Source organism: Homo sapiens, chromosome 11, assembly GCF_000001405.40.
Source record: "Homo sapiens chromosome 11, GRCh38.p14 Primary Assembly".
NCBI lineage: Eukaryota > Metazoa > Chordata > Mammalia > Primates > Hominidae > Homo > Homo sapiens.
The window spans coordinates 74289226-74311125 of record NC_000011.10 but is presented as its reverse complement, the minus strand read 5'-3'; the positions used below and the strand labels follow the sequence as shown (position 1 = coordinate 74311125).

The 21900-nt window shown below is 40.5% G+C and overlaps 1 protein-coding gene across 8 annotated transcripts in view; it reads left to right on the top strand.

Annotated features, from left to right (window-relative positions):
- Window positions 1–21900, top strand: part of P4HA3 (prolyl 4-hydroxylase subunit alpha 3) — a 61495-nt gene that overhangs the window by 515 nt on the left and 39080 nt on the right. For 6 of the 8 annotated variants that reach the window (XR_007062475.1, XR_001747837.2, XR_001747836.2 and 3 more), the window contains exons 2-4: window positions 6714–6856; window positions 8534–8757; window positions 12765–12914. Coding sequence is in view for 3 of the 8 variants with exons in the window: in NM_001288748.2 (NP_001275677.1) it covers window positions 6714–6856; window positions 8534–8757; window positions 12765–12914 (517 nt within the window). In the remaining 5 variants the exon portion in view is untranslated. The remainder of the gene's footprint in view (window positions 1–6713; window positions 6857–8533; window positions 8758–12764; window positions 12915–21900) is intronic. The other 2 variants (NR_110031.2, XR_001747838.2) reach the window with 2 other exon arrangements.

The window sequence follows — 21900 nt, the reverse complement described above, 5'->3', positions numbered from 1 at the left end:
ACACACATAGTGGCACCCCCCATATCCAGCGTCACACAGCAAAGTTGATACACTGTGGAAGAGCGGGGCGGGGTGACTCTAGGACCTCACAATGTGCTGTGCAAAGCTGTGTGAGCCCCAGGCCCTGTGTCACACTGACACAGACACAGTGGACGGTGCTGTGACAGAGACACTGTGAGAGTGACATGGAGAGAATACGGTGACGCTTTAGCTACGCAAGTATTGACCTTTCAAGGGGGGATCGTGAAACACCGCATGACCTAGTGAGCTGATGTTTAGTGTTAGGAGTCAGGTGACAGTCTTCCACCATATGTGAGGTTTACATGTCATTGGGACTGGATGGGCACGACACTGTGGATATCATACTCTGCATGTGAATGATGCTGAGTAACTGTACAGGTCGCTATATGAATAATGCTTCAGTTCATTAATTCATACAACACATATTTTTGAGTGCCTACTAAGAGCCAGGCAGTGTTCCAGGCAGTGGGGATAAAATGGTGATCAAGAGCCAACTCTGCCCTCGAGGAGTTTGGGTCTGTAGCACCATGACTGTTAATCAGAGATGTCCACTGCCGTCTACGTCTTCAGTTCTTCCTTCTCTTTACACATGTAGAAGCTCTCTAAATACTAAATAAATGATAACTGAGATGTTATATGTGTGTCAACATATTTGATATCAAAAAAGCACTGTGAAAAAACATACTTGATGCAGAAGATACTGAGTGTAGCACACAGCAGTGGATGCTCAGCTAATATAGTTTTGGGGTACAGTCAACAAACTCTAGTGCTACACACTGTGGCATAAAAGGTTGTCAGACTTGGGATGCTGAGGCACCATAGTCATGTATCGACTTAGCAGTGTCCAACTGACAAAAATGAAAGATAAATGATTGTATATGATACCATCTGTATGAATATGTGCTGCGCCTTCTCTGCCTGGGACATCAAGAAGCCTACAACACTGACAGAGTGGTTATGACCACGTCACTATTTGGATATATTAATATTGTACTTATATCATGTGACCTTATCATTGAGCAAAGACAGCACAATGCACTGCTTTTAAAACTTTGCGTGAGTGTGTGTGGTAATAATACTGATTCTGGGGTGACATGAGAAGAAGGTATGTGGAATGGGGAGTGACTCTGAGGTCCAGTGTGACCCCCAAACCCATTGTCACCCTGTGCGAAACTTTGTGACCCCATGACTGTGAGAGAGAGCTATGTAGAAGAGAAGCATTTTGTGGGTGGAAAGTATTTGCGAGAGATCTTGTTAATAGTGACTGAATGAGCTAATGTGGTGCTTGTCCTTAAGTATGTGGCTTGCGTATAAACAGCTTGAAATAGTGTGACAATATACAATATAGGTATGTATTAATTTTAACAATAAATGAAGATCATTTCAATAATTATTGTCACTCTTTGGAATAGCATAGTTGTCTAGTATTCTATGGGTCCATGTTGACCGAGCCAAATGTTTTCTTTTTGTTCATAGCCCAGAGTCATTGGAGTCCAAGCTTATTAGTGGAAATAGGACAGAATTTTTTCTCTTTGATTTCAGAGCCCAGCATTCTCCCTGCTACCCATGCTTGTTCTCATACCAGTAATCTCTTTGGGTAGCTCAGATGGAGACGGGAGTGGGGGGTCAAAATCCCCCTGCTGGTCTTTCAGGTTACATTCTCAGAAGAGAGCACTTGAAGCATTTTGGCCAAAGCAGCTGGCCAACCCCATTCCACCATGCTGGTCTCCTTCACTGTCTTTCCACCACTGTCATTATCACAACTTTGTCACAGCAGGAGGTCTCATACAAACCATATCTCATCTGATTCTCTCTCACACACAATGCTTTGAAATAGATTTGTATTACACTTGTTAACTATTGAGAAATCAGTTAAAACATGAGAAAACTAAAGTCTAGTTGCTCACTCAAGATTGTATTAATAAATCTAATAGGTAGCAAATCCAGGACTAGGACACAGTTGTTTTGATTGTTTATCCAACTTTTTTCCTACTATGCTATGTTATCCCTACCACTTCTTTTATCTGTTATACCAAGACATAGACCAAGCCCCTAACTAATTGAGGTTTTACTAGTGGCCACAGTACATGGTGGTTAACAGTGAATTCAGGAGTTTAACAGACCTCTATTTGAATCGTTGGCTCTGATCTTGGACAAGTTACTTTACCTCTTTGAGCTTTAGTTTCCTAATCTGTAAAATGATGATAAAAATAGTACCTACCACCATAGGGTTTTTGGAAGGATTAAGAGTACCATGTAAAAGTTTTTATCATTGTACCTGGCATGTAACAATTGATGGACAAATGCTAAGCCTTTATGCTTATTATTTTATTTTATTTTATTTTAAGACCATCTAGTGAAACTAGGCCCCACTTTTGGCTCTAAGTATTAACTAGGATTGTGACAGCCTAGATAAAAAAACAAATCAGAAAAGTTCTCAATTATTTTCTCAGGTGACTTATGAACAGTTAATTTTGTAGTTTAGTTTGATATTTTGAAGACTGTCATTCTGTCATTCTGTTCTCTAGTGACTGCTCTAAAACCCAGTGAAATGTTTGCTTTTTAAGAGACAGGGTCTTGCTCTGTCACCCAGGCTAGAGTGCAGTGGCTCTATCATAGCTCACTATAACCTCAAACCCCTGGCTCAAGTGATCCTTCTGCCTAAGCCTACCAAGTAACTAGGACTACGGGTGCACACCACCATGCCTGGCTAGGGTTTTTTTGTTTTTGTTTTTGTTTGGTTTGGTTTGATTTGGTAGAGACGGGGTCTTGCTCTCTTGCCCAGACTGGTCTTGAACTCCTGACCTGAAGTGATCCTCCCTCCTCGGGCTCCCAAAGTGTTGGGATTGCAAGCATGAGCTACCGTGCCCAGCCTTTATGTTTGCCTTTTAAAACAAGAATTTTGGCAGTTCTTGCTAATTTTTCTATACTCCCAATCTGGTGATTTTATGTAACTTGAGAGGCTATTTCCAAGGCTCTCAGTTGAGATAGAAAAATGCAGTATTCTTGAGGTTGAAACTACTCCCTACTCCAAGTTAATGAATAAAAATTATACTTGTTATAGTATATATAGTTATATGCCAGTATGGTACATATACTAGTTATATATATAAAAAGAGTTTATCCTAGCTTTTGTTGTTGCTGTTTTTGCAGTTTAAAACACCACCAAGAGTGAGAGAGAAGTGTCAGCAGCAATTTTTTCTGTGCTAAGGATTAAGCATTAATAATGTCCCAGAAGAACTGATACAAAACCATTTCTGAATTCCAAAGGCAAAACATATTGAAGTGAAATAGCCCATGTATTGTGGTTGGATAACCTGCCCAGGCTATGTTTAATGCAGGGATTGGGTTGCAAATTTTATGTGCAGATTCTTGAAGGAAAGGATCTGATTTTCCATTCTCAGCAGTATTTGTTAAAGCAAAAAGACATTTAGGAAACCCTGAGGTTTGAATTCAGCATCCAGTAACTCAGTTTCCAGTCTCTGGAAACCGCTATGTGCTCAGAGGCTGGGCATAGGGCCAACTTTTGGATTCTAAGCCAACCTCAGTTATCAGTTGAGAGATTTTTTTTCTTTGTGTGACAGAAAAATGGCATATCTAAACACTGGATTGAATTGATGTGCTGCAATAGAGATCAAACCCTGACCTAAACAAATCAACCCCAAAATGCAAAGAGGGGTGCTAAGAAAACAAGGAAGTAGACAGCACTTTTGATTTGATGCATGACTTGGGGCAAATATTCACCTCTCTGCTTTACCACTTTACCTTTGTGCCTCAGTGTCCTCTGATTCCTATTAAACATTAGTCCTCAAGCTAATGAGGAATCTGTTTATTCAGTTGTGGAGGGGGTGATGAGAAGAAATAACAGAATGTTCATGCTGAAAAGATCCATAGAAATCTTCTAGACTAGATCAGTTCCTTCATTTTATGGATGAGGAAACTGAGTGATAGTTGGAGGCTGGGTCAGAATAAGTCCCAGTTCCTTCCTATCCAGCTGTCTTATAAAATCACTGCCCTCTCAGCCTCAATTGTTCCTGGACACCTACTCTTTAAGCTGGACTCAAGCCCAAGTCTCCGCTTGTTAAGATTTTTCATCAAGCAGTGGAGTATCTTTCCCTAAGTAGTTCCATACGGAGCCAAAGCAGGAGACAATGGGTAGTAAAGATCCCACACCCTGGAGGCTGGTTTCATTTCAAAACCCTAGAGCTTCAGCTCACAGACTGCCTTGTCTTTGGGATCAGAGACACCCTGGGACTTGACAGGCTTCCCATTTCCCCACTGGGAGACCCAGGTCCAGGTTCTTGTTCCTTAGTTTATGTTGAATTGAACATTTGGCTCCTTGGAAGCCTCAAGGCAGTCGTCTTCTATTTCAGGCTTCATTTCATAGTTGAGGACCTCACTCTTTAGAAATCCTCAGATAAGACTCTGCTCCAAGGGGTTGAAATCCTACCACCTTGCCACTTCCTCTATTTTTCACTTTCATCTCTGTCTCCTCGCAGAAGTCGCCCACTCTTGCCAAAGGACTCATAGTCTCCTGTGCTCTTGCACACGTTCATTTTTTTTCACTTTGCACAAACTTTTTTTTCTTCTACTTCCATTCTTGTTATACTATTTTTGAAGTTGATAATTTTAAAACGAGCGGGAAAACTCTTGGAGAGCAGGAATAGTACCTTAATCTGCCCTGTTATAGATAATAAATTTCAGTAATATAAATTCCATTGGTGTTTTAGAAATGGAATTAACCAGAGTATACTAGGAAAGGAAACAGCATCTTTTGCCTATATAAACACTGTTGAAGGACACTGGAGAAGGGAAATTAACTGGAAAGATGATCACTTCAGGCCCTACCATTTCTGCCCTTTTCTGCATTTGTTGCCAAGCTAGAAAGGTTGGAAGTGTGCTGGACGATCCCACCTCTTATTCCCCTTTACAGTCATCACCACTTCCTAAACTCCTTCCTTGAACCCAGTCCATTCTCCATCGCTGTCGTGGTTCAGAGTCTCCTTGTCTTGTGCTTGCAGTTTTGAAGTGGCCTCCTCCCCACCCTCTCACACATTTATATATGTGAACAAGTCATAGTTTCAACAGTACCACTCTCACTTAAAGCCTTCTCTAACCTGCTCTGGCCAAATTAATCATCCCCTCTCTGTCCTCCCCACTAAGCCTTGTTCTTAAATCTGGTATTGCATCTGTAATGTAATTATTTGTGTCTTTCTTACTCACTAAACTGTGGATCCTTGAGACCAAGATTATTTCCTTATTCAGAATTTTGTCCCTAGCTCCTAGGAGAGTATACTTCATTCTTTCTTTCATAGAAATATGTATTGAATTTAGGTATAGAATGATGAGAAAAAAAGTTATTTTCTTATCCATGAAATCCTTGAGTATTAGACCTCGTCTTGCCTTTGTATCCCTAGAATCTAGCATGGAGTCTGACATCTAGCAAATAACTCGTGTAGATTGACTTACTACAAATATATCTCAAGCCTCTGTGCCTTTGTACACTAATGGTTCCTGTTGGCTTGAAAAATACTCTTCTTCTCTTCTTTGTTCTAGCTCCTTAAGAAACCATATAGCATAATCAGCTGCGAACCCAGGTTTTGGAGTTAGTCAGACTTGGGTTCCATCCTGGCTTTGCCCTTTACTAACAGTGTGGCTTTGTTTCAGTTTCCTCTCTGTGGAATGGGTAAAATTAAATCTACACTAAGGGTCGGTTGGAAGGTGGGGGGTAATTAAATGAGACAATCTATTTAGAGCACCCAACAGGCCAATACATGGTAGGAGCTCAATAAGTAATAGCTTTCAGTATTTTAACAAATCATTCAAGATTCAGATCACATGCCATCTCTTCTTGGAAGCCTTTCCTTCCCCCTTCTAACTCCCACCTGGATGAGCTGCCCTGCCTGCACAGCTGCAGCATTATATGCTCACTTCTCTCATAGCAGAGAGGTCCCCAACCCCTGGGCCAGGGACCGGTACCAGTCCATGGCCTGTTAGGAGGCGGGCCCCCCAGCAGGAGGTGAGTGGTGGGCAAGGGAGCATTACTCTTTGAGCTCCACCTCCTGTCAGATCAGCCACGGCATTAGATTCTCATAGGAGCGTGAACCTTATTGTGAACTGCACATGTGAGGGATCTAGGTTGTGTGCTCCTTATAGGAATCTAACTGGTACCTGATGATCTGAGGTGGAACAGTTTCATCCCGAAACCATCCCCCAACCCCCCGGTCCGTGGAAAAAATTGTTTTCCATGAAACTAGTCCCTGGTGCCAAAAAGGTTGGGGACCACTATATAGCACATATCACAGTGGTTATAATTAATTCAATAGTGTTTTTGAGTTTCTACCAGATACTAAGTATTGCATATACAGTGATGACAGGAGAAAAAGACTTTGTGATCCCTTTGAGAGCTGGACCCTGTCTTGCCTTTATATCTCTAGCATGGTGCCTGAAATACAGTAATTGATTAATATAGACTGACTCATTCAGTGAACAAAAGAGTGGACCTACTTTTGTTGTATCTATAGTTTTCATATTCTTTGGGCTTGCATGGCTTTTTGGTTGGACTATTATGTGAATCTCAAGAGGTTCAGCATGTCAGTGTTAGCTACTCTTAATGTACACACACCATGCCAGCCTTCCCTAGGTGTAGTGGTTGTATCAGGAGGTGAGATCATTCTACTCCTTTCTTTCAGATTCTACGACAAGGTACTTTCTTTGCATGAGGATTCAACAACCCCTGTGGCTAACCCTCTGCTTGCATTTACTCTCATCAAACGCCTGCAGTCTGACTGGAGGAATGTGGTACATAGTCTGGAGGCCAGTGAGAACATCCGAGGTAATGAGGAGGAGGGCTGGAGGGTAAGAGAGAAGATTCTATCTCCTGACTCGGTGGTAAGGAGAGAGATTCTGTTGGGATGTGATTTCAAAGGGTAATGGAGTAGGTGGGTATTACTTAATATCCTTAGCTCTAGCTAGCACAAAGAATTAGGCCCGCTTGCTAATCAGTTTATATGATTATACCTTAGAAAGCACTTTCATATCAATTGTCTCATTTGATGTTCACTACAATCCTGTGACAAAGTACAAGCCTTCCATTTATATATGTATAGAAAATAACGGTCTTCTAGTAGTTTCTGTTTCATTAAATTGTCACTACAGTGTCATCTATAGCAAGATCACTTTCCTAATTTATTCTACTTTGTGCTGTAAGAAGTTTGTTGACGGCCAGGCGCGGTGGCTCACACCTGTATTGCAGCACTTTGGGAGGCTGAGGTGGGCTGATCACTTGAGGTCAGGAGTTCCAGACCAGCCTAACCAACATAGTGAAACCCTGTCGCTATCAAAAATACAAAAATTACCGGGGAGTCGTGGGATTACATGCCTGTAATCCCAGCTACTCGGGAGCTGAGGCAGGAGAATTGCTTGAATCCGGGAGGCAGAGGTTGCAGTGAGCCAAGATCGCACCACTGCACTCCAGCCTGGGGTGACAGAGCGAGACTTTGTCTCAAAAAAAAAAAAAGTGTTGACTTTTGGGCTGGGCACAGTGGTTCATGCCTGTAATCCCAGCACTTTGGGAGGCTAAGATTGCTTGAGCTCAGGAGTTCGAGACTAGCCTGGGCAATATAGCGAAACCTATTAAAAATAACAAAAATTAGCCAGGCATGGTGGCGCATGCCTGTAGACTTGGGAAGCTGAGGCACAAGAATTGCTTGAACCCAGAAGGTGGAGGTTGCAGTGAGCTGAGATTGCGCCACTGCTCTCTAGCCTGGGCGACTGAGCAAGACCCTGTCTCAAAAAAAAAAAAAAAAAAAAGAAGTTTGTTGATTTTTGGAAAGCTAACAGTGAGAAGAGTCTGGGTGTGGTTGCTCATGCCAATAATCTCAACACTTTGGGAGCTTGAGTTGGAAGGATCACTTGAGGCCAGAAGTTTGAGACCAGCCTGGGCAACATAGCAAGACCCTGTCTCTACAAAAAAATTTATTTAAATTAGATGGATGTGATGGCGTGTGCCTGAAGTCCTGCCTACTCAGAAGGCTGAGGTGAGAGGCTCACTTGAGCCCAGGAATTCAAGATTATAGTGAGCTATGATCATGCCAGTGTGCTCCAGCCTAGGCAACAGAACAAGATCCTATCTCTATTAAAAGAAAGAAAGAAAAGAAAGAAAAGAGGAGAGAAGAGAAAAAAAGAAAAGAAAAGAAAAAGAAAAAAAGAAAAAGAAAAAGAAGAGTTGTCTCCCTAAAGAGTGAGACTCCTGTAAACATACAGGATAGGACAATATAATGAAGCTGTATGCCTTAATTTTTATTCCTCATTCACTCATTCTGAATGTTCCTCATTCAGAATTGCATTAAGCATCCACCCTGTGCCAGGAACTGTGCTTGCCTCTGGGAACACAAAGACAAATCCAACTTGATGTCATTAAATATTTGAACAGGTGGTCATGCCTTACATGTATTAAATGCCCAACTCCTGTTTCTTGAATGCTGGGTTGATGTTTTTACTACTTTTACAGCTCTGAAGGATGGCTATGAGAAGGTGGAGCAAGACCTTCCAGCCTTTGAGGACCTTGAGGGAGCAGCAAGGGCCCTGATGCGGCTGCAGGACGTGTACATGCTCAATGTGAAAGGCCTGGCCCGAGGTGTCTTTCAGAGAGTCACTGGCTCTGCCATCACTGACCTGTACAGCCCCAAACGGCTCTTTTCTCTCACAGGGGATGACTGCTTCCAAGTTGGCAAGGTAACAATATTCAAGAGAGGGCCAATTGCTTGGCTCTGGTTTCTTATGGATAAAATAACTATGTACCGATTGATTTTACTTCTTTTTAATACTTACAGTAAACTTGGAAATTTGATATCATTTCCATTTTCAGAGAAAGAAAACAAGATTCAGAGAGGGTAAATAACTTGCCCTAAGATTATGCAATTTTAAGGGCAGAACTAAAGCTTGAACCCAGTCTTTTGACTCCAAATCTCAGGCCCTTTCCATAGTAGTTAAGGTGTTTATATACTTAGAACACTCTTGAGATTGAAAGGGGTGTTATTAATTATGCTAGAACAACAGACATGAACTAGGAAAAATGGTCCTTTGTTCACCCTAACTATAGCACCCTGCCAGTGCATGAACTCCTGGGTAGAAAGGGAAAGCAGGGGGTCAGGGACGCAAGGTTGGGGAAAAGGATAAGAGATGGTGATGGAAAGGTAAGATCACGGAAACAGCCTCCTGAGACTTTCTGGAATCCAATGCAACATTTCCTAAGCATTTGGAAGTACAAAATTAAAGTAGTGTCCAAAATCTAAGGCCATTCACTTTAACATTACTTGAGGAAATAGACTTCAGGAACACCCCCGCCCCCCATCTGAGGTATTTAACTGATCTTTGATTATAAGTTGTAATCACACGTGAGATCATTTTGTAATATACTCTTTGCCAGCCTTTGCTATAAAAAGCAATGGAGCAAATCCATTTTAACTTTGAAGATGTTTATTGCAGTAAGGTGTATTTTTCCTGACTCCTACAGTATTCATCAACAGATCTGGGAGTGGGTCTCATGTGTCCTGATTCCAAGTTTTGGGAGTCAGTCTTCCAAATTAAGGCAGAGTAGGCTGCTTGAGTCTCTCTACATACTGTTTTCTCTTTTCTGGGATCCTGAGTGGAATCAGAGCTCAATCATCATGTTCATGGCTGATTTAAATTTAAGCCAGGTAAAGTAGTTTAATGTATGGTACTAACATATTAGTGAGGCCTTTCTGAAAGTAAAACCGTATGTTGAAAATTTAGTAAGTCACTTCCTGGAAGTCTTACTGGCAATCTTTCTTTCTATATTTATTCACTTATTTTGAGAGAGAAAACTTTTCAAATATAAGAAAAGAACATAAAATAATATAACAAGCAATTATATCTATTATTGTAATGAATATATGTTCAAATTTTGCTATGTTTGTTTCATTTTTAAAAATATATATTAGAAAAAAAAACATGTTACATACAGCTAAAACCCCACTCATCCTCCTCGCCACCCCCCATCCCTTCTGCTCCACCCTTGCCCAGGTAGCAGCGATCCTGAACCATATAGTATGTGCCCTTTTAAGTCCAGCTTCTTTCATTCAGCACATTGTATCTGTGGAATTCATCCATATTGTATCATTTGTTAGTAGTTTATTTCTTTTTATTGCTGAGTAGTATTCCATTCTAAGAATATACCACAAACTGTTGATCCAGTCTCCTGTTGACAGATTCTTGGATTGCTTCTAGTTTGGGCTACTGTGAATAAAGCTTCTATTAACATCCTTTTATGTCCTTCTATGGACATTTATTCTCATTTCTCTTGGATGAATACCTCGGAGTGGTATCGCCAACTCACAGAATAAGCTTCAATAATTATCAACATGTGGCCAAATTTGTTTCATCTACACTTCCCCGATCCCTTCCTCTATGGATTATGAAATTTCTAGTTTATGAAATTCTTTTTGTTTTCTTAGGGTTTTGCTCTGCCATCCAAGTAAGTGCAGTGACACAATCATGGCTCACTGCAGCCTTGATCAAGTGATCCTCCCACCTGGGGGGGCTCAAGTGATCCTCCCACCTCAGCCTCCCGAGTAGCTAGGACTACAGGTGTGCCCCACCATATCCAGCTAATTTTTTAATAAGGGTCTCACTGTGTTGCCCGGGATGGTCTTGAACTCCTGGCCTCAAGTGATCCTCCTGCCTCAGCCTCCCAAAGTGCTGGGATTACAGGCATAAACCACTGCACCCAGCCTATCTTCTGAAATTCTTAATTGTCTAATTCCATCATCGTGCTATTGTGTCTGTTGACTCTTGCTCATGATGGATTATTTCCTGATATAGTTTTCATGTTTGGGAGCTTATTTTCAGCAGGACATTTTCCCCCTAAGAGAATCCATGTGCCCAGAGTTGTGGGAATATCCCTCCAGAGAGTTTTGGGTGTTCTTCTTCCAGAAACTCTGGTGCTCTCACTCGCCTTAGATCATTTTTATATTTATTTATTGACATAGGAGTTCCTTGACCATATGAATATTGCAGATTCAAACCCTATACTCACCAGAAGTAGAGGCTCAAAATTGAGAATATTCTTACACAGAGCTAGACAGAAACAAACAAATATTCTTGTCTCATTAAGATAGCAAGCAAATTTTTTTCTGGTCTACCTTTTCTCCTAAGGTATAGTTTTTTATAGAATCCAGTTTCATGAGGGTGTCTTAGTTCCAGTTCCTGGGCTTGGGGCAGGTCTAAGGATGGCTCATCTTCTATCCTCATATGGGCATTATAACCCAAGGTTACTGAACACCAAGGTTACTATGATTAACACCCACCCCCATCCTAGGGAACATCAGCATCTGCTCATAAGCTTATGGTTTGGGCTTTTAGCCCTTTTTTGTTTCTGGTACCTGATATTTTCTGTTGTTTTTTTTTTTTTTTTCTTGAAAATATATAATAAAACGCTTTTTATAGTTTATTCAAAGTGTCCGAATTTGTGTTCGGAAGGATTCCAGTTGTTTCAGTCTACCATATTGCTGGGACTTGAAGTTACTCATGGAAATCTTAATTAAACAAATTAACTTGGCATGAAAAGTTCAGTCATTTTTAGCATTTTTCAGCTCAACGTTTTTACAAATAGGACTTGAGGTGCAGAAAAATAAAACAACAGGTTAATGGCAGACTTGAAGGAAAAATGATTTATTGTTTAGGCTGCAGAATTGCAATATCTCTAGGATTTTTCCCTGTCAGGAAGTTACACCCTAATTAGATCATTTTGTAAGAGTTCTTCCTAGTCTGTAACTTTACAGTTCCATGTTGTCTCCAATATCAACTTCCAGGAAATTCCACTTGCAGTTCTGGTATTCTAGTTAACTGTAAACTATGAGGAGACAGGAGCTGTGTCTGGTACGTGTTGCCATGTTGCCAGCATTCCAGCATTTAATACAGAACAGATCCATTGAGCTTCCATAGCGTTCCCATGTCTACCTTCATTATGGTGTCTAATGCATTGTGTTACAATTATTGGCTTACTCATGTGCCCCGTCTTGATTTAAGCTCTTACAGGACAGGGCCACTAGGCACATAGAAAATACTTAGTAAATATTGAATAAATGAATGAATGAATGAATGTAATCCATTCTTCACATTGCTACCAGCAATATCTTCCTAAAAATATGACATTCAAGACTGTAATTTGCTTAGCCCATGCTGCTGTTTCAAGTTTACTTTTTGTTTCTCTTCACCCTAGCTACAGCCACGATGGACTACTTGAACACATTCTTGCTTTAGATTTCTGTTGCTGCCATTCCCTCATCTTAAAATGCTTTTCTTCCCAGTCTCTGCTCACTGATATCCTTTTCCTTCTTCAAGGAAGGCCTGTCTCAGATGCTACCTCTTGCATGAAGCTTTCTGAGATTCCCAAGTCTCCTCCCTTCCCTGTGCCACCACAGCATAGTATACATTTTCTTTGGAGCACTCATGATATTCTGTCCCAAATTAGAGTTAATTGAGGTCATGTTCTCTTTTCCTTCAGATTATAAATTCCTTAAGTGCAAGAACCCTTATGTCTCCTCTCCACGTAGTACAATGCGTTGTATATAGTAGATGCTTAATAAATTGAATTAAAATGAATTTGAAATTAAAACCTGCCTTCTTGGATTCCAAAGTCCCTCTTATTCTTTGAATTGTCATTTTCTTTTTCTACCTGTGGAATAAGGCTTTGGCGATGGTACTTGTGTTCTGTGTAGGTGGCCTATGACATGGGGGATTATTACCATGCCATTCCATGGCTGGAGGAGGCTGTCAGTCTCTTCCGAGGATCTTACGGAGAGTGGAAGACAGAGGATGAGGCAAGTCTAGAAGATGCCTTGGATCACTTGGCCTTTGCTTATTTCCGGGTAAGGGAGTAAGTGAAGCTCACTGCTTTTATTATACTAAGTGAAATCCTTTATAGCTGCTTTACAATTTCTAAGTATTTTCATGTCTTCATCTGTTTCATCTTCCCAATAGGACCAAACTGAGCCAAGCAGGGAAGTTATTTTATCATTTCCATATATCACATGTGAGTAAACTGAATCTCCAAAAGACTATTAACTTGTCACAAAGCTTATAGACCTAGGATTAGACTGTTAGTCCAGTGCTCTTTCCAATGCATTGACTACTTTACAATCATTATTTCCCATGTAGGAGGCAGTTTGTCACCTGTAGCAGCAGCTGCTTTATTCACAAATAGTTAATGGGTTCATAATAAATGTAGATCACTCTTTTGTGCTCTCAGCAACTCATAATTCATCACAGATATTACCCATAATATTGCCATGGACAAAGAAGTTTGATTATGAGCTTTTCCCATCTGCAGTTGAGTCCAACTGTAATGTGACTCCTGTCTGGTTACAGAGCTGGAGTCACTGTTCTGTAGTACCAGCCACAGTGCCTCCTCCAGGTGTTATTTTTCCTTGGCACTGTTGATCTACTTACTCCCTGTTGTGCCTTATATAGAAGTTCATTTCCCTAAATAAAGCAGCTGCCAATAAACAAAACTAACCAATAACTGGGTAAGGTATAGCTTTTGTATAGCTAACCCCATTTCCCACCCGAGTTGTACAGTCTTCAAGGGTAGGCTGCAAAAATCTCCATGGAACCAGTTCCCTAGAGTTTCCAAAACTAGTAAACCATTTCTGCTCCCTACCTTTTTTTTCCTTTCCCCATTTTCTTGAGAAAGGGGAGGAGGATGTGGGTGCTCCAAACCCATGTGTTGCTGCCCAAACAGATTTACTCTCAGTGCAGCAAACAGTCCTGTTCCTTTCATGGAAGTTCCTGGCGAATGGATCTTTGTTGTAAAACTGTGTATGTGTTGGCCGGATGTGGTGGCTCACGCCTGTAATCCCAGCACTTTGGGAGGCTGAGCCGGGCAGATCACCTGAGGTCAGGAGTTCAAGACCAGCCTGACCAACATGGAGAAACCCCATCTCTACTAAAAACAAACAAAACAAAAACAAAAACAAACAAAATTAACCGGGTGTGGTGGCACATGCCTGTAATCCCAGCTACTCAGGAGGCTGAGGCAGGAGAATCGCTTGAGCCCGAGAGGTGGAAGTTGTGGTGAGCAGAGATCGAGCTATTGCCCTCCAGCCTGGGAAACAAGTGAAACTGCATCTCAAAAAAAAAAAAAAAAGAAAAAAAGAAAAAAAAAACTGTGTATGTGCTCTTCCTAACTCTCCTGCTAAATTGCTGTGTGTTAAAGCCAAACAGAGTAACTGTGATGTAGGAAGGGGTGAGAAGTAATTGAGTTTTAATAGAGGAAGGAAATGGAGATTCGACATGGAAAGACTCAGAGAAGAGAAACTAAAGCAGCTTACCCTGAAAGACGGAGTTTCAAATGTTGTACCCAATTATTGATTAGTTTTGTTTTGTTTCCCTCTAACTCTGATGGCTTGGATTTCTCTTCTACTTGCTTTCCACATCCTGTTTTGTCTGGTGAAATCCTGTTTATGTTACAAGGCACACCTCGAATGTCACCTACTTTGTGAAGTCTTCCTGAGTTCTCCTCACTCCCCAGGCTTTCCTCCTTGGTGGTCTTACAGCATGTTTTTATTCCCCAGTAACAGAACACATAAGGCATTATCTTATAGATGGTTTGTGTTCCTCCTCACCCCCTAGTAAATTAGAAGTAAATGTCCCTGTGGACCTTTCATTATCACATAAAATTTAATGTATTTTATTTCATTATATATTTTAGTAAAAAAAATTTTAATAACTGCTAATAATGAGAGATGGTAGAGTACAGTGGTTAAGCTATGGGCTCTGGAATCAGACAGTCCTGGATTCAAATGCTGTGAAAACATAGGCAACTTATTTAGCTTCCCTGGGCCTCAGTTTTCTTATTTGTAAAAGAGGAATAATGATGCTCACCTCAAGTGGGTTGCTGTGAGGATTGAGTGAGCTAATACAGGCAAAGCCCTTAACAGAATGCGTGCGTGGCACATGCTACTTACTGGATAAATGTCAGTTCTTATTACATGATACATACATATATATGTTCTCTTTTCATTTAATGTTCCTTAGTGTACCTATTTCCAAAGAAACTTAACTGAGACACTGAAAGTAACTCTTTGTTCTTTGTAAAATATAATTTTACTTTATTACAAGACTCTCAAGTTTTAGAAATATGTGAAATTGTATTTTGGTTCTTTTCATCTCACGAAGAGTTTGAAAAGCTATGACCTTGAGTTAATATTTGACATTACAAGATATTCATAGATTACTCAAGTATTCCTTGTTAAATGTAGAACAGAGTAATTCATGATATCAAATAATTAGAAACAATGTATTTGTCCAACAGTAGTGGAATGGTTAGGTTCTCTGTGGCCTATCTTCTGGATGGAATAAAATGCAGCCATTAAAAATGCTGTCTGTGAAGACTATGTGATGACATCAAAGTACTCCTGATAACAATGTAAAGTGAAACAATCAGGATGTGAAGTGTATAAAAATATGCTTATAACTATGTAAAAACTATATATTATCCAAAGTACTTCAGTCCCTGGATTTTGGTGTAGTAATTTTTTTCCATTTCTCATATGTTTCATAATGTGCTTATTATTGCTTTTATCATTAGAAGTGAATTGTTAATATGCTAAAGTAAAGTGATTGGAATGAAATACATTTCTATCAGTTAATCATCATTTGGCAGCACCCAGAAGAGGACTGCTAGATACCCATCCGGGATTCTGTTCCCCAGATTTGTCTGGAAAGCCCTATTTCCTTTTGACTATGTTGAGCCCAAGGTTGAATGGCTGCAGGGAGAGTTAATTCCTGTGCACTGGGCAATGTTTCCATTTTAGTTCTTTCTTTGCTTCCCTCCACTAACTTTGTGGACTCCGGGAAGAACTGAATCTGGAGAACAAATTATATTTTTACTAGGGTTTTTATAGTTCCACATTGGGTTAAATATATTTAACTTCAGTTATATTATTAAATATAACAAACAACAACGCCCCGCAATTACATGGTTTTGCATGCTTTAAGATTTGAGGGCACGGGGGGAGGAGCCAAGATGGCCGAATAGGAACAGCTCCGGTCTACAGCTCCCAGCGTGAGTGACACAAAAGACGGGTGATTTCTGCATTTCCAACTGAGCTTTGAAGAGAGTAGTGGTTCTTCCAGCATGCAGCTTGAGATCTGAGAACAGGCAGACTGCCTCCTCAAGTGGGTCCCTTACCCCCGAGTAGCCTAACTAGGAGGCACCCCCGAGTAGGGGCAGACTGACACCTCACATGGCAGGGTACTCCTCTGAGACAAAACTTCCAGAGGAACGATCAGGCAGCAGCATCTGCAGTTCACCAATATCTGCTGTTCTGCAGCCACTGCTGCTGATACCCAGGCAAACAGGGTCTGGAGTGGACCTCTAGCAAACTCCAACAGACCTGCAGCTGAGGGTCCTGTCTGTTAGAAGGAAAACTAACAAACAGAAAGGACATCCACACCAAAACCCACCTGTACATCACCATCATCAAAGACCAAAGGTAGATAAAACCACAAAGATGGGGAAAAAACAGAGCAGAAACACTGGAAACTCTAAAAATCGAGTGCCTTTCCTCCTCCAAAGGAACAGAGCTCCTCACCAGCAACGGAACAAAGCTGGATGGAGAATGACTTTGATGAGTTGAGAGAAGAAGGCTTCAGACGATCAAACTACTCCGAGCTACAGGAGGAAATTCGAACCAATGGCAAAGAAGTTAAAAGCTTTGAAAAAAAATTAGACGAATGGATAACTAGAATAACCAATGCAGAGAAGTCCTTAAAGGACCTGATGGAGCTGAAAACCAAGGCACGAGAGCTACGTGACGAATGCAGAAGCCTCAGTAGCCGATGCAATCAACTGGAAGAAAGGGTATCAGTGATGGAAGACGAAATGAATGAAACGAAGCGAGGAGAGAAGTTTAGAGAAAAAAGAATAAAAAGAAACGAACAAAGCATCCAAGAAATATGGGACTATGTGAAAAGACCAAATCTACGTCTGATTGGTGTACTTGAAAGTGACAGGGAGAATGGAACCAAGTTGGAAAACACTCTGCAGGATATTATCCAGGAGAACTTCCCCAATCTAGCAAGGCAGGCCAACATTCAAATTCAGGAAATACACAGAACGCCACAAAGATACTCCTCGAGAAGAGCAACTCCAAGACACATAATTGTCAGATTCACCAAAGTTGAAATGAAGGAAAAAATGTTAAGGGCAGCCAGAGAGAAAGGTCGGGTTACCCACAAAGGGAAGCCCATTAGACTAACAGCTGATCTCTCAGCAGAAACTCTACAAGCCAGAAGAGAGTGGGGACCAATATTCAACATTCTTAAAGAAAAGAATTTTCAACCCAGAATCTCATATCCAGCCAAACTAAGCTTCATAAGTGAAGGAGAAATAAAATCCTTTACAGACAAGCAAATGCTGGGAGGTTTTGTCACCACCAGGCCTGCCCTACAAGAGCTCCTGAAGGAAGCACTAAACATGGAAAGGAACAACTGGTACCAGCCACTGCAAAAACATGTCAAATTGTAAAGACCATCGAGGCTATGAAGAAACTGCATCAACTAACGAGCAAAATAACCAGCTAATGTCATAATGACAGGATCACATTCACACATAACAATATTAACCTTAAATGTAAATGGGCTAAATGCTCCAATTAAAAGACACAGACTGGCAAATTGGATAAAGAGTCATGACCCATCAGTGTGCTGTATTCAGGAAACTCATCTCATGTGCAGAGACACACATAGGCTCAAAATAAAGGGATGGAGGAAGATCTACCAAGCAAATGGAAAACAAAAAAAGGCAGGGGTTGCAATCCTAGTCTCGGATAAAACAGACTTTAAACCAACAAAGATCAAAAGAGACAAAGAAGGCCATTACATAATGGTAAAGGGATCAATTCAACAAGAAGAGCTAACTATCCTAAATATATATGCACCCAATACAGGAGCACCCAGATTCATAAAGCAAGTCCTGAGTGACCTACAAAGAGACTTAGACTCCCACACAATAATAATGGGAGACTTTAACACCCCACTGTCAACATTAGACAGATCAATGAGACAGAAAGTTAACAAGGATACACAGGAATTGAACTCAGCTGTGCACCAAGTGGACCTAATAGACATCTACAGAACTCTGCACCCCAAATCAACAGAATATACATTCTTTTCAGCACCACACCATACCTACTCCAAAATTGACCACATAGTTGGAAGTAAAGCACTCCTCAGCAAATGTAAAAGAACAGAAATTATAACAAACTGTCTGTCAGACCACAGTGCAGTCAAACTAGAACTCAGGATTAAGAAACTCACTCAAAACCGCTCAACTACATGGAAACTGAACAACCTGCTCCTGAATGACTACTGGGTAAATAATGAAATGAAGGCAGAAATAAAGATGTTCTTTGAAACCAACGAGAACAAAGACACAACATACCAGAATCTCTGGGACAGCTTCAAAGCAGTGTGTAGAGGGAAATGTATAGCACTAAATGCCCACAAGAGAAAGCAGGAAAGATCTAAAATTGACACCCTAACATCACAATTAAAAGAACTAGAGAAGCAACAGCAAACACATTCAAAAGCTAGCAGAAGGCAAGAAATAACTAAGATCAGAGCAGAATTGAAGGAAATAGAGACACAAAAAACCCTTCAAAAAATTAATGAATCCAGGAGCTGGTTTTTTGAAAAGATCAACAAAATTGATAGACCGCTAGCAAGAATAATAAAGAAGAAAAGAGAGAAGAATCAAATAGACACAATAAAAAATGATAAAGGGGATATCACCACCGATCCCACAGAAATACAAACTACCATCAGAGAATACTATAAACACCTCTACGCAAATAAACTATCAAATCTAGAGGAAATGGATAAATTCCTTGACACATACATCCTCCCAAGACTAAACCAGGAAGAAGTTGAATCTCTGAATAGACCAATAACAGGCTCTGAAATTGAGGCAATAATCAATAGCTTACCAACCAAAAAAAGTCCAGGACCAGATGGATTCACAGCCGAATTCTACCAGAGGTACAAAGAGGAGCTGGTACCATTCCTTCTGAAACTATTCCAATCAATAGAAAAAGAGGGAATCCTCCCTAACTCATTTTATGAGGCCAGCATCATCCTGATACCAAAGCCCGGCAGAGACACAACCAAAAAAGAGAATTTTAGACCAATATCCTTGATGAACATTGATGCAAAAATCCTCAATAAAATACTGGCAAACCGAATCCAGCAGCACATCAAAAAGCTTATCCACCATGACCAAGTGGGCTTCATCCCTGGGATGCAAGGCTGATTCAACATATGCAAATCAGTAAATGTAATCCAACATATAAAAAGAACCAAAGACAAAAACCACATGATTATCTCAATAGATGCAGAAAAGTCCTTTGACAAAATTCAACAACCCTTCATGCTAAAAACTCTCAATAAATTAGGTATTGATGGACGTATCTCAAAATAATAAGAGCTGTCTATGACAAATCCACAGCCAATATCATACTGAATGGGCAAAAACTGGAAGCATTCCCTTTGAAAACGGGTACAAGACAGGGATGCCCTCTCTCACTACTCCTATTCAACATAGTGTTGGAAGTTCTGGCCAGGGCAATCAGGCAGGAGAAGGAAATAAAGGGTATTCAATTAGGAAAAGAGGAAGTCAAATTGTCCCTGTTTGCAGATGACATGATTGTATATCTAGAAAACCCCATCGTCTCAGCCTAAAATCTCCTCAAGCTGATAAGCAACTTCAGCAAAGTCTCAGGATACAAAATCAGTGTACAGAAATCACAAGCATTCTTATACACCAATAACAGACAAACAGAGAGCCAAATCATGGGTGAACTCCCATTCACAATTGCTTCAAAGAGAATAAAATACCTAGGAATCCAACTTACAAGGGATGGGAAGGACCTCTTCAAGGAGAACTACAAACCACTGCTCAAGGAAATAAAAGAGGATACAAACAAATGGAAGAACATTCCATGCTCATGGGTAGGAAGAATCAATATCGTGAAAATGGCCATACTGCCCAAAGTAATTTATAGATTCAATGCCATCTGCATCAAGCTACCAATGACTTTCTTCACAGAATTGGAAAAAACTACTTTAAAATTCATATGGAATCAAAAAAGAGCCCGCATCGCCAAGTCAATCCTAAGCCAAAAGAACAAAGCTGGAGGCATCACACTACCTGACTTCAAACTATACTACAAGGCTACGGTAACCAAAACAGCCTGTTACTGGTACCAAAACAGAGATATAGACCAATGGAACAGAACAGAGCTCTCAGAAATAATGCCGCATATCTACAACTATCTGATCTTTCACAAACCTGACTAAAACAAGCAATGGGGAAATGATTCCCTATTTAATAAATGGTGCTGGGAAAACTGGCTAGCCATATGTAGAAAGCTGAAACTGGATCCCTTCCTTACACCTTATACAAAAATTAATTCAAGATGGATTAAAGACTTAAATGTTAGACCTAAAACCGTAAAAACCCTAGAAGAAAACCTAGGCAATACCATTCAGGACATAGGCATGGGCAAGGACTTAATGTCTAAAACACCAAAAGCAATGGCAACAAAAGACAAAATTGACAAATGGGATCTAATTAAACTAAAGAGCTTCTGCACAGCAAAAGAAACTACCATCAGAGTGAACAGGCAACCTACAAAATGGGAGAAAATTTTCGCAACCTACTCATCTGACAAAGGGCTAATATCCAGAATCTACAATGAACTCAAACAAATTTACAAGGAAAAGACAAACAACCCCATCAAAAAGTGGGCAAAGGATATGAACAGACACTTCTCAAAAGAAGACATTTATGCAGCCAAAAAACACATGAAAAAATGCTCATCGTCACTGGCCATCAGAGAAATGCAAATCAAAACCACAATGAGATACCATCTCACACCAGTTAGAATGGCGATCATTAAAAAGTCAGGAAACAACAGGTGCTGGAGAGGATGTGGAGAAATAGGAACACTTTTACACTGTTGGTGGGACTGTAAACTAGTTCAACCATTGTGGAAGACAGTGTGGCGATTCCTCAAGGATCTAGAACTAGAAATACCATTTGACCCAGCAATCCCATTACTGGGTATACACCCAAAGGATTATAAATCATGCTGCTATAAAGACACATGCACATGTATGTTTATAGCAGCACTATTCACAATAGCAAAGACTTGGAACCAACCTAAATGTCCAACAACGATAGACTGGATTAATAAAATATGGCACATACACCAGGGAATACTATGCAGCCATAAAAAATGATGAGTTCATGTCCTTTGTAGGGACATGGATGAAACTGGAAACCGTCATTCTCAGAAAAATATCTCAAGGACAAAAAACCAAACACCCCATGTTCTCACTCATAGGTGGGAATTGAACAATGAGAACACATGGACACAGGAAGGGGAACATCACACACCAGGGACTGTTGTGGGGTGGGGGGAGGGGGGAGGGATAGCTTTAGGAGATATACCTAATGCTAAATGACGAGTTAATGGGTGCAGCACACCAACATGGCACATGTATACATATGTAACAAACCTGCACGTTGTGCACATGTACCCTAAAACTTAAAGTATAATAATAATAAAATTAAAAGAAAAAACAATTCAACAGAAAACAAAAAAAGATTTGAGGGCACTTTAAGAAGGTTTATTTTCATTTATTTTCCTACCTTGCCCGGTAAGGGTGGTCATAAGTCATTAGTAAATGAGGAGACTGGTGAGACCTGATTTGCAGTGAGGCCACAGATCCTCTGCATTTCTGGTCTGCTGTTCCTTTCAGTGAGCCTTATTATCTACTTATGGTAAGAAT